At 44.0% G+C, this 13,422-nt stretch overlaps 1 protein-coding gene across 5 annotated transcripts in view, besides 1 other annotated feature; it reads left to right on the top strand.

The window, feature by feature from the left end:
- Nucleotides 1-13,422, top strand: part of MAF (MAF bZIP transcription factor) — a 398,116-nt gene that overhangs the window by 269,490 nt on the left and 115,204 nt on the right. The window lies entirely within an intron of this gene.
- Nucleotides 2,166-3,041: an enhancer, noted in NCBI's record as "OCT4-NANOG hESC enhancer chr16:79362104-79362979 (GRCh37/hg19 assembly coordinates)". NCBI's record gives its function as "activates a minimal SCP1, AML or CMV promoter by ChIP-STARR-seq in naive and primed H9 embryonic stem cells {active_cell/tissue: H9 hESC(naive and primed)}" and the evidence as "EXISTENCE:reporter gene assay evidence [ECO:0000049][PMID:30033119]".

Raw genomic sequence — 13,422 nt, 5'->3', positions numbered from 1 at the left:
TCCAAGGTCTAGTTTTCCAGGCCAGGCAAAAGATTAAGACACATTTTTCATCTTCCATGTGGGATTAGGCCTGCATTAGCTCTATTTGTTAAGGGACTTGATTTCATTGTGGATCCACTTGCTGAGTTAGGAATAAATGGGAAACTGAGGTGCTTCAATCCTCAAACAAACCCACTTTGTTTCTTGAAATATCTGAAGCCATTTCCCATCTGAGCCCAGAGGTTCATTTTTCTCCTTGTTTTACAGCTTTACATGGCTTCTTACCATTGTTCGCCACTCACAGGGTTGGCCTTCATGTCCGGGGTTTGCAATATTTTGTCCAATAAGGAAGGTGGCTTTGCAGAAGGGATGGGAATTTTGGAGTCAGGCAGGCCTGGCCAGGTTTAACTTTTAACCAACTGCCTAGGCACTGGGTGACCAGGAGCCAGTCCCTTCATCTCTGCAAGCCACACATTCCTGACTTATACACCGAGGAGGGCAATTCCTGCTTAGAGGAGCTGAGCCAGATTTCCAAGTTCATGCCTCAAATTTGTAAGCACTGTGCGTGGCACCTTCTGGCTGTTCAGTGAAGGGGAGCTGTTTTGATGACTACCTCTCCCTTTGATCACTAACAGAACATCTTCAATACAGGTTGCTCTGCCTTGACCTCTGTCTTTCCCCACTGGTGTTCCTCCCCACCCTGTGGGTGGCCCAGTATCTCCTCTCTTGGCTTCCTCTAAGCCCTTTGGATTTAACTTCAGGCTACCAGCCATGATCATGGCCAGAGCATTCCTGTACGGCTCTCACCATTCCTCCAACTCTGCTCAAAGGTGGGCCTGGATTTCCAAGACTCAGAGCTTATAAAATGTTTGGATTGCTAACAAAATTAGAAATAGAAAATTGCAAGAGCCTTTCCTGGCATCTCCAAAGAAGTCTATACAACTGAGGGGGTTTGGAGCTTTAGTTTCCTTAACATATCTACCACATACACATTTTGTTCTCAAAAACAAAATGCCCACTAGCGTCAAATTATGCTTGGAATGATCTGGGCATAAAGAATGTTGAACCATAAAATTGGATTGCAGGCGGCATGTGTAGATAACCTTTGCCCTCTTGGGATATGGCAGGAGGATGAGAGCCTTTGCAGCCCATACTTTTACCTGCTTTGAATAAATCGGTATGAAAATAGACTTGCTACTTGATTAGTAAAAAATGGTGCGTTGAAATTTCTTTGATAATCAGTAAGGTTGAATTTTTGCCAATTGATTAGTTGCTCATTTCCTAATCCATAGTCTTTTGCTGTTTTTTTTTTATGATGACTTAATGTTTATTGTATGGTGTGTCTGTTCTTTATGCTGTATGGATATTAACCATATAACCAACATTTCCATGTAGGAAGTGAGTAGGAAAGATAATCGAGTTGGAAGAGAGAGATGTTAAATTTGTTTTGAATTTGTTTTGAAGCTGTATTTAAGTAGAAGGCATACTGGTTTTAATTAGATTATATACTATAGATCAATAAGAATAGTACAGTTTTCTAAGATGCTTTATTTTCACTTTACAGAAGATGAACAGATGTCTCTCATTCCTAACACAGTGTGGGAGATAAGGGTGTTTAGAGGGTTATTCAGATGGGGGAAGACACCGTGACTGATATGAACCACTTCCATCATATTTCTGGATAATGTCTTTTTTCCACTTTGTTGCTTAATGTACAGTTTTTTTAATTTTGGGGGACTCTAGACGGAGATTTTGGAAAGCAGATTACAATGCAACAATTTCCCTCTTGCATTTTTCTCTGTGAATTCCACCACGGACCCAGAAGAAATGCAACCAAAATTACCAGATACCGGTGTTGTGAAATCTCATTTGCGTGGCACTTTCTTCCTATATAAAGCTTTCTGGAAGCAAAGACTGATGCAAACTCTCACTTCTCCAAATTCCAGTTTAGTCGGTCTAGAGTCGGATTATTACCATCCATTTCTCAGTCACTCACTGGCAGCCCCCTTCTTATAAGGAACTGGGTTTTGAAGATCACTCAACTCTGAGAGCTCTGACTTTTCTAGCAGAGAGGGGGAAATAAGGTTTCCTTTAACCTAATGTGCCCTGGTGTTTCTTGCCTGGTCCCGTTCTCCAGGAAGAACAAGAACCAGAATGTGGGAAGTGAAACATGGGTTAAAAAAAAAAAAATCACAGAAGGAAGGGGGCAAGTTGCGGAGTGAGTGGGGGCGGGTGTGAAAGATACAGCTTGCAAAACAGCTCCTTCATGTTTCAGAGCTGTGGTTATTAGGAAGAGCTAAAGACAGACACAATGACAGATGCAATGATGTACCAGATTCTGCACCCAGTTATGCCCTTAGCACTAATACAAGCAACACAAAACTGAGAGTTAAACGCCTTGGCAGAAAACTAGCCAAAGCTTAAGGCAGCGGCTTCCTGGCATTCAATCTGACAGAGAGAGGCTGGAGCAATTGAGAGAGGACCAGTTCTTCAAAGGGTTCCATTTTAATTACAAGCTGGTTGGAGAATGTTACTTCCAGAACCCTCCCTGCTACCTGGGTTCACTTCCAAAATCTAATGGAGTTATATTGGCCAAATGAAAGACTCCCAAATCACACAGTGACAACTTCCCTGCCCAATCTCAATAAGCTTTGTCTTCGTTCAAGTGCCAGCTCGGCTCGAGGGATTTTAGGCTCTGAAGAGAATTAGCTCCCTCTTGCTCTCATATTGCATTAAGAAACTGGCAGCCAATCAGAAAGACAAAACAAAATCAAAAGAATGTATTCTCATGCAAGGGCCCCACCCTGTGACTTCCATTGTTTCCCAGGAACCTGTGGGGATTTCAAATTCTCCTTTTGCCCCTGTTTCCCTCTCCAGCACAACCAAGTGGCCCCCAAAATTGGAGTTGCCCTAAATGCCTCAAGTTGCATTTCCTTGTCTCTAGGCTCTTCCAAATGCAGAACCTGATTTCTTTTTTTAAAAAAAAAGGAGCTCTGATTTGCACTTGTTTGAGCTTATATATAATGAGGATGATATTGGCCAGGCAATGCCCTCTGAAAATAAGCGAAGAAAAAATAAGAGACTCCCAGGGCGGCAATATATTACTAGGCACCTACCCTATGTCAGGTGCTAATCACTTCCATAGGATTTTCTTAATGCATGCTGCAGGGATGAAAGCAACTTTTGCTATTTCACTTAATCCTTACAACTCACAGGGTTGGGAATTCTTATGCCCATTGCACAGAGAAGGAAATTGAGGCTCAAGGGAATTTCAGGAGTTTGTTCAGGTTATCATGCATTAAGGAAACAGCAAAGCTAAGGTTTGCACGTAAGTCTGGTTGGCACCTAGCAGGATTTTCTGGCGATCAAATGGTGATGGAAAGAACACTCTGTAAAGGATATTTACATAGGAATGAATGTTATTGCAAATGCCTGTTTGTCAATGACAGGGCTTCAGTTTCCTCCTTTATAAGATCAGCTTCTAAGAGTATCTTCCTCAGGGACTTGTGAAGATTAAAAGAGATAAAGCGGTCAGCACTTGTGGCACAGTCCCTGCGACAGTACGAGGCTTGTCAAGCAACATTATGACGATGAACAAAAATGTGTATCATTTGGATAGAGAGAGAGAACGCTTAATGATAGCCAGAAAAACACTATTTCCACCTTAGTTACTTTTGGGCCACCCTGGGTGGAGCTGACTCACCTATAGCAAGTTTTTCCAAAAGCTAGCTATGTGACCTTGTCAAATCAATACCTTGCAGCTTTATCTCTTGTCTTATAATAACTCATGGCTTTGTCCGTGCATGGACACTGCCATCCCCAGACCCATCTGCCTCCAAGAGAGACTATCAATGAGAAAATAGGTACATCAAAGAGCAAAAGCGCTTTAAGAATATAAAGCACAACTCTGATAACAAAGGCCATATGATAATAAATGTCATTGTGAGAGAACTACCCAGAAAACGGGAATGTGTACAAGAAGTCAGGGGTTGTGCCAAGCCTGGGAACTAGTTCTATACCCTCCACCACAGGCACTACCGAACTGGTCTCCCTGTTTTCCCCCTAAAGCCCCTGCCCCAAGCCATTCTTTAGAAAGCAGGCTTTTAAAAACCTTTTTACAATTTAAAAATCCAATCCACTTTTGCTTCACACCCAGAGATTTCCCCTGTACTGCATGCCACCCCCTGTTCTGGGCTGGGGCTGTGAAGTACAGTAGTTCAGTATGCAGACTGTGAGGCCAGAATGCCGGGGTCCAAACCCCACAGCTGCTAGGACGTTATGAATTGCCTTGGGCAAGGTATTCTCAGCCTCAGGACCAAAATCCAGCTTATCCCATCTGGAATCCTTCATCTGCGTTTCTCTTTTCTGAAAATCTATTCATTTCCTGTTCAGAGGCTCCCAGATACTACCCTGTGTCTCTGGATGCCTCAAGAATTACTGGTGATATTTGCCAATTTTCTCAGCACCCTAGGTCAGGAGTCAGCAAACGATAGCCTGCATGCCAAATGCAGCCTTCATCCACTTTTGTAAATAAAGTTTTATTGGAACACAGCCATGCTCCTGCATTTACATACTCCTGTGGCTGCTTTCCTGCTGGAACTGCAGAGTTAAACAGTTGCAACAGAAACCGTATGTGATCTACAGAGCCTAAAATATTTGTTATCTGGCCTTTTACAGAACAAGTTTTCCAAGCCCTGCCCTAGTTTACTGTCTCTAAAACTAATTTAGGGTGTAGAAAATTTAATGTCGTGCTCACGTCTGTTGAAGTGTATAAAATGTTGCTATATCCAACAGAAATTCATTAAATATAGGTGTTGTGCTAAATTAGATATATTGCAGATTTTTAAATGCTGCAATTTGGGATGGAAAAAGTTTAAATGGGGGTAGAACCCTGTTCATCAACTTTTTTAGAAAGTGGATTGGACAAAACATCTTAAATTTATGGAGCCCCTAGTATGCTAGGTATCATGATAAGTACTTTTATACATTTTAGTGCATTTAAGCCTCACTACAGCCCTATGAGGTTGATACTGTTATTATTTCTGCAGGGAGGCATAAATTCTGGAAACAAGGGGAAATAGGCATAATATCATCAAGAAAATCTTCAGTCTATAAAAAATAATAAATTATTGAAGTCTTCAGACTTTATGGGCAAAACTATATTTTGTGGATTAAAAATTGAGGTTGAAATTGGTAAAGTGGTTGCCAAAGGTGGCACAACAGGCTAAGTGATGGAGTCAGTGGTCAGACCCTGGTTGTCAGAAGCAAGATCTTGCAGGTTAAACCTTTCATCTGCCTCTCCTTGTTCAATGTTATGGAGTATCAGTGTCACACAAGATCAGAGTGTGGGGATCCTGGTAAGATACCTTCCTTGAAGACTTGAATCCATTTGCCTAGACTGGGGCCGTCTGTATCATTTCACGTATCTTCTGTTCCCTTCCTAGCCATGTTTGTTCTGCTCTTTCTGGTTTAAGCTCATTCCTTTGATGAATAAGACAAAAGCTAGTGAAGAACTGGGTCTTCCTGCCTTCCTGCCTTCTCACTTTAACTTTGCACATCTGCCTCAAACAGTGCATTTATATCTTGCTTTGTTCTTCTAGTTTTTAACCAGTACTCAAAAGGTCTGTGTGTGTGTGTTCTGTGTGTGTGTGTGTGTGTGTGTGTGTGTGTTTGTGTCTGGGTATCTGTGTGTGGGCATCTGTGTGTGTGTCTGTGTGCCTTAAGGAAGCCAGGGCTCCTGAGACAGCCCATCCACATTCAAATCCTGCTTTCCACTTACTAGCTGTGGGACCCTGAGCCAGTTGCTTCCTCTCTCTGAGCTTCATGAGCCTCCTGGGTAAAGACACGATTATGATCATACCTGAGTCACACAGCTGTAGTAAGGGTTCCATGAGATTGCATCTGAAGGCAACGTTTTTAGCAGAGCATCTGCCAGCTGGAAGCACGTGATAATGCCAGTTGCATGCACGGTTGTCGCTCAGAGTTGATTCCAGCCGTCTGTCTTTCCAAATCAGGTTTCTTTGTTTTATTTACTCTTGAAAGTATTTGCCTGTGTAGTGGATTGAACGGTGTTCCCCCACCCCAAGAAAAGACATGTTGCCCAGAACCTGTGAAAGTGACCTTATTTGTAAAAAGAGTCTTGGCAGAGATAATGAAATTAAGGGTCTCAAGTTGAGACCATCCCGGATTGGGTTAGGCTCTAATTCCAAGAAAAACAGTCTTTATAAGAGAAGGGGAGAGAAGAAGGAACAGGGGAGAATGCCAGGTGAAGATGGAGGCAGAGATTGGAGCACGTGTCTATAAGCCACAGAGCACCAATGATTGCCAGAAACCACCAGAAGCTCAAAGAGGCAAGAGCAGATACTCCCCTAGACCCTTCAGAAGGAGCATGATCCTGCTGACACCTTGCTTAAGGACTTCTGGCCTCCAGAACTGTAAGAGAATAGATTTGTGTTGTTTTAAGCCACCAAGTTTGTGGCCATTTGTAATAGAAACTGCAGAAAACAAATACAGTCCCCCTTCACCTTTCCTTCATTATTACCTTTCCAGGAGTGCCCGTCTGACTGTCGCCTGTGCCTCCTCCCCTTTCTGTAGAGGTGGTGGGTGCCCTGCACAGAACTTTGCATCTGGACTCTGCTGCTTACTACCTAGGTGTTTTCGACTCAATTACTTAGCCTTCCTGGACCTCCGATTCTTATTTGTATAACATAAAGATAATGCTTGCTTATATGGTCATTGTAATAATAATACAGTAATCCATTGGTACACATGGGGGATTGGTTCTAGGGCCCCCTGCTAATACCAAAATCCATGCATACTCGAGTCCCAAAGTCGGCCCTGCAGAATCCGAATATAATGAAAGTCAGCGCTTCGTACACACAGATTTCACCTCCTGTAAATATTGTGTTTTCAATCCATATTTGGTTGAAAACAAAACCACATATAAGCAGACCCACACAATTCAAACCCATGTTGCTCAAAGACCAACTGTAATACCAACAGGTTCTGTTTACCACACCCTGGCAATGAGAAGGCAGAATGACGAAATGCAGCATTTCATTTTATCCTATGAAATGGGCGCTACTCATGCCCACATTTTACAGATGGGAACATTGAGGCACACTGAATTTAAAGTAAATTGTCAGAAGTCATGTAAAAGCAAAATTCACATAACATAAGCTAACCTTTACTGAGAGCATGCTCTGTTGTAAGCACGGAAGGTCCACAGCAAAGAAAACAATATCCCTCCCTTAGTGGAGCTTATATTCTCAGTGTGAAGATGCATACGCTCTGGAACGTTCTGGGTGTTCTACAGGCATATAGTAAGTACTCAATAAATATCTACCCACCTCTCTCTGACCCCGCCGTAGGCAATAAAAGGGAGGAATTCGGTAGCTGTAAGTTCATGGTCACTTTCCCCCAAGGTCATATCACTTCTACTTAACTAAAAATTCCTTCCCCTGGGATTGCAGGTCCCCTCGTTATTTCCTTAACCCTCTGGGAAACTCTGTTGTCAGCAAAGATGTTGCTCTCAGATGCCCGGTGTGAGGGGAGTGAGTCTCCAGGGAGTGGCACAGACTGTGGAGAGGTCTCTTCAGAGCCCTCAGCTCACCTCGGTGCCAGCTGCTTGCCGCAAGGTACGGTCCCATCACCAGACGCACCCTTTCCGGTGCCCATGGGAGCGTGTGCGTTTCCAAAACTCGGCCACTTCTTTGTCTCTCTCCTTTCATCTTCACTCACATTGTCTCCATGGGTCTTGCAAGCTGAAGTTTATTCCTTTCCCTTCTTTTAATCTTTTTAATTTGTCTGTAAAAAGTTGCATCGGTGATACAGTTTTACATAGGAAACAACACAGAGATGTATTTAAAAAATGAAAAACAACCCATAATAATTCCAACCTACTCCTTTCCAGCCTGAGTCCCTGACATAACCACGGTCCTCTTTTCTCCCCTGGGACACCATTCGTGACATTCTAACTGGGCTCCCTGCAGCCTCTCCATGTCATCCCCCCTTCCAGTTGAACCCCCGGGACTAGACTGACTTTTCTGTTGAACTCTTATCATCACTAGTGCCCCATTTGCCTTTTTTTTTTTTTTTTTTTTTTTTTTTTTTTTTTTTTTTAGATGGAGTCTCGCGCTGTCACCCAGGCTGGAATGCAGTGGCTGATCTCCACTCACTGCAAGCTCTGCCTCCCAGGTTCACACCATTCTCCTGCCCCAGCCTCCCGAGTGACTGGGACTACAGGCGCTTGCCACCAAGCCTGGCTAATTTTTTGTATTTTTAGTAGAGATGGGGTTTCATCGTGTTAACCAGGATGGTCTTGATCTCCTGACCTCATGATCTGTTCACCTCGGCCTCCCAAAGTGCTGGGATTACAGGCGTGAGCCACTGCACCCGGCCCCAATTGCCTATTGAAGGAAAAACTAGAACCCTTTGGCAGGGACTATGGGGTCCGGTGAGCTGACTACAGGGTGACATTCCTACTCCTTTTCTCCACTGGCCTCTCACCTCTGAGCTCTTTATACCCCCTGCCACGACCTTCAAGTCCACCTTGACCCCGGCTAGATGAATCCCCCTAGATACCCACAAGCTCAGTACCCGTGTGTCGACCTTAGCACCATGCAATTGTACATTTATTTGTGGAATTCTTTGTCTGTGTCCTCTAGAAAACAGAAAGGTCTGTTTCCGCTTCCCATGTTATCCCCAGCACCCAGCACAATGTCTGGCTCATAGGAGGTATTTAATATAGTTTTGTTCTCTTTCTTTTTATCTGTGGCAAAGAATTCCTGGGCACCTCCTTATTGCCTTTTTACGCAGCAAACTTACTGTTTTTCTCAAATCACAAGCATAATCAAGAAAAGAAGATTCCCTTCCTAACTGAATCCACAGAGTGACCCAGTCACTTAACACTTTGTCTCCTAGGGACCTTCAAAATGGCCAGTTGGTGACCCCCTGAGTGCCGATACTCTTCTTAGAAACACTCAGTGATGCCTTTAGCCATAAAAGCAAATACCCTTTTTCCTTATTATTTCTTTTGAGGTGAAGTCTCACTCTGTTGCCCAGGCTGGAGTGCAGTGGAGCGATCTTGGCTCAATGCAACCTCCGCCTCCTGGGATTAAAGCAATTCTCCTACCTCAGCCTCCTGAGTAGCTGGGATTACAGGCATGTGCTACCACACCCGGCTAATTTTCGTATTTTTAGTAGAGATGGCGTTTCGCCGTGTTGCCCAGGTTGGTCGCAAACCTCTGACCTCAGGTGATCTGCCTGCCTCAGCCTCCCAAAGTGCTGGGACTACAGGTGTGAGCCACCGTGCCAGGTCCAAAGACCTTTTTTTAACAGGATGTTCAAGTTCTTGGTCACCCAGGACCAAGTCTTGGTCTCTACTGCTTTCTCTTAAAGCACATACACCCTGTCAGCCGGGCACGGTGGTTCACACCTGTAATCCCAGCACTTATCCAGGTGTGGTGGTGGGCACCTGTAGTCGCAGCTACTAGGGAGGCTGAGGCAGGAGAATGTCGTGAACCTGGGAGGCAGAGCTTGCAGTGAGCTGAGATTGTGCCACTACACTCCAGCCTGGGTGACAGAGCGAGACTCCGTCTCAAAAAAAAAAAAAAAAAAAAAAAGAAAAAGAAAAACACATACACCCAGTCTTAGCAGGCCTCTGTTCTTTCCTGATTCTGTGCCTCTGGTGATGCCTTTCCCTCTGCTGAAATGCCCTTCCTTCCTGGCCTCAGCTAAGCCGTCTCCTTCTCATTCTTAGCACATTGCTTGCTTTCTGTGAAGCTGTCACTGACTGGGCCTCTCCTCTCTAGCCTCCATGTTCTTGTAGCCCTTTCCCTCTCTTCCTCTGGATAAAATGCAGGATGTGATATTTGGGACATACTAGACATTACTTGCTGTTTATCTGAAATTCAAATTTAACTGGGCATCTTGTATTTGCGGTTCCCCTACCTTGAGGTGTGATGGATTCCATTCCCCTACCTTGTGGTGTGATGGATTCCATTCCCCTACCTTGAGGTGTGATGGATTCCATCCACTCCGACACCTCCCAAGACTGCGCTGTGGAATTTCCCTGGTGGAGAATTCTGGTAGGGCAGGCATCGAGGAGAATCACTGTATGTAGATGCTGCCAACACAGTGATTGGCACAGAACAGCTGTGCCTTGCATCACTGAGTAAACAAACGGACAGTAATGACCCTAATAAGGGCTACCAAGTGTGTGAGTGAGCAAAAGAGATCGAGATCAGACTCCTCAGTTAGTCACCTGGGTCTAACCCCACCTCTTGGAACTGGACTGGGTTCAAATCCCATCTTCTTCATTTACTGGACTGTGATCTCAGACTGTTTCTTAACGTCACTCTGCTCATCTTTAAAAGGAAAATAAAAACAGTACCTCCTGCATGGGGTTCTCGTGAGGATTCAATGAGATAATCAATATATAAAACACTTAACACAGGGCTATAGCAAATACTCTATAAACGTCACCCATTATTTATTAAGTGCCAAGCCCTGCCAAACACTACTATAGTTTTATATCATTTAATGTTCACAACAGCTCTATGGGATAAGTGTTAAAAGTCCCATTTTTCCCATGCAACCCTAGAAGCTGGAGGCACATTCATTCATTTGCCCAAAGCCACACCATTAGTGAAGGAGCTGGGATTAGAGTCCAGGGTGACTGGCTCCTTCTCGAGAGACAACGTTGCATAAGAAGCGAATTCTAGGTAGATTGGGGGAGTACCAGGAGCCTCCTTCGGAGATCTGCAGGTGCTGCTGCCCTCAGAGCCCACAGATGGGCCTACATTTCCACTGAACTCATGGGCTGACCAACGGCATCCCCACTCTGCCTCATGAAGCAGCAGCGTGTCCTGCAGCCAAATTCACAGCCCTCAGAAAATTGAGAAATTTCTTTCTTCCATTTCAGGAAGCCCCGTATCTTCTCTGGTGGATGTTTTAGCAGAATGGGAGCAGCTTTCTCCTTTATTCTTATTCCCCTATAATCTATTCTTTGGTGACCTTTAAGTATATATATAGAGAGAGACATCAGACAAAGATCACTCTGTCACAAAACCTTTTCAGTGGTTTCCATTGTACCCAAAGAAAATCCACATATGCACCAAACTCTCCTGGACATGGGTTCTGCCTTCCCTGATACTCCACTTTGTACCACCCTTCCTGTAAGCCTCAACACTGGCCTTCCTTCTGTCTGCCATGCAACCCAAGGTTGGTTGGACTCATACTCCTGGGCTAACCCATGGATATCACCTGGGCTGGATCTTAGAATCTCCTAAGAGCTGCATATTTTAAATATCTTCTCAAAGTTCAAGATTGACCTTAACTTTCACCTCTGCAGAAAGCCCATCTCCAACCATCCTGATCAAACAGTCGCCTAACCTCAGCCACTGCATCCCATCCTCCAGCCAAAATGATGTATTTCCGTATTTCTCTATGTGGTCATTGTTTCTCTCCCTCAACTGGAATATAAACTCCAGGAAAGCAGAGAATCACCCTGCCACTTTTCACTCTATGCCCACAAATGGTCCTTAGCACATCATAGTTGCTCAATAAATGTTTATAGGAGAAATGAATATGCAAATACATAAATCAATGGAGAAATAAGTAGAATAGTTTAAGAATAATCAGAGAAATGCCAAGAATCCCACCTGTCTGTTTTAAAGTGCATTATTGTCCCCCCAGCCCCTTTCCACCTACGTCAGATCTGTTACAGCCCAAATTTTCTATTTCTGTGAGTAAATGAGCACTTTCACAAACAGTTGTGCTTGGGGAAGGGGACTGAAGGTCAGTGTTAATTTAATCCACTAGCTAATATCCGGTTTATCAACCTTCTGCTTTATAAAGAAGCACTATATGTACATTTTTTACAAATAGTCTGAGCGCATTGATCCATAGAACTTCTAAAGTTTACTTCAATTAGAAAGAGTTTCAGATAAAGATCAAATTAATTAAGTCCTCTCCCCCGCTTAAAGTTCATCTTAATTAGCCATTGTTTCTTTCTCGAGGGCTTAGTAATTGGCTGGGCTTCAACCTGGACATAGAAGAATTAGAAGGGGACCTCCCCCCACCTCCCCAAAGTAGGCATTGACACCTGGCACAGCCCAGAGTTCTCTGCCTGGATATTTGGAGTGTGCCAGGGATTTAGGGAAAGTGTGCCTGCTTAAATGAAGGGAAATCTGCTGGAGAAAAAAAAATCTGTGATTCATCACAGAAGTGAATTTTCCGGTTTTCCTTGCTGAAATAAATAGTTGCAAAGGAAATGCTATTTTATTTTTGCCTCTCAATTTGTGTGTGTGTGTGAGTTTCATGGAGGTTTGAGGGTTCTGATGGCTGTTGAGGCTCAGGTGAGCAGATATGCTGTAAGGAGGAATCCACAGCTTTTGTCTTACCCATTGCAAACTTGGAGTCAATAAAAGAGAGGAGTCTTCCAGCAGAGGCTGTGTTTTCTGGTGTCCTGAGATGCTCTTTTCCCTGTGTCTCTTGTAGCCTTAAGAGTGTTTTATGGCACAATCTTTGATATTCAGGGAACAGGTGCAAATACTGTTAAGTGACAGGATGTGTCATGCAGATGATTTTAAAAGGAGCCATGAAATGGATGTATCCAATGAAAATATAATGTTTAATTTACTCCTTCCCAGAACTAGTGATGTTGCGCCAAGGGCTGTCAGCAGTAAATCATCTGCCGACTTAGATGACACCCAGCAATGTAGTTTCGGGAACGCTTTTTCTGGCTAGTGCAGGTTCAGGCTGATGAATCTATTCTGTCTGGCTCTGGGGCAGGTTTGTGGCTGTCACATGTTTGCATTTTCCCATGGATGGAGAATCAGAAGGGTGGGGACAGTGGACACCAGAAATTGCTCATGTACCCTGCAGAAGTGATGTATCTCCTCCTCCAGGAAGCCTTTCCTGATTAGCATGACTATGACTGGGCAATCCAAGTTGCTCCTTACCATTTAGCATCCCAAAGGACAATGCTCTCAAGCAGAGCCCTGCAGTGCTGTGTAGTGGATGCAACCTGGGAACAGGTGGATCATCTTGAATTAAGATCATCTTAATTCTTCTGGCCTAAGAGTCTCATAAGGCAAGGACCAATCTGTCCTGCTCTTCCCTGTAGCCCCACAGCCTACAAAAGAGAGATTTCTCACATATTATAAGTGCTCAAGACATATTTGGAGAATGAATGAATGAACGACAGAGCATATTCTCCTTACTCCTCAGCTAGGCCATAAAAGAACCAAACAAAGGCATGACACTGTTATGTTCCAGGATGTGGCTCTTTGCTCAGGGAAAATAAGAGTGAGTGAGTGAGTGAGTGAGTGAGTGAGTGAGTGAGTGAGTGAATGAATGAATGAATACAAGCTACCCCACAGATAGTAAATACTCTCCAAATGGAGCAGGGGCTGGGGGCTAGAAAACACAGTCAGCTTT

This window comes from Homo sapiens, chromosome 16 (assembly GCF_000001405.40).
Source record: "Homo sapiens chromosome 16, GRCh38.p14 Primary Assembly".
Taxonomy (NCBI): Eukaryota; Metazoa; Chordata; class Mammalia; order Primates; family Hominidae; genus Homo; species Homo sapiens.
This window is presented reverse-complemented; position numbering and strand designations above follow the sequence as displayed.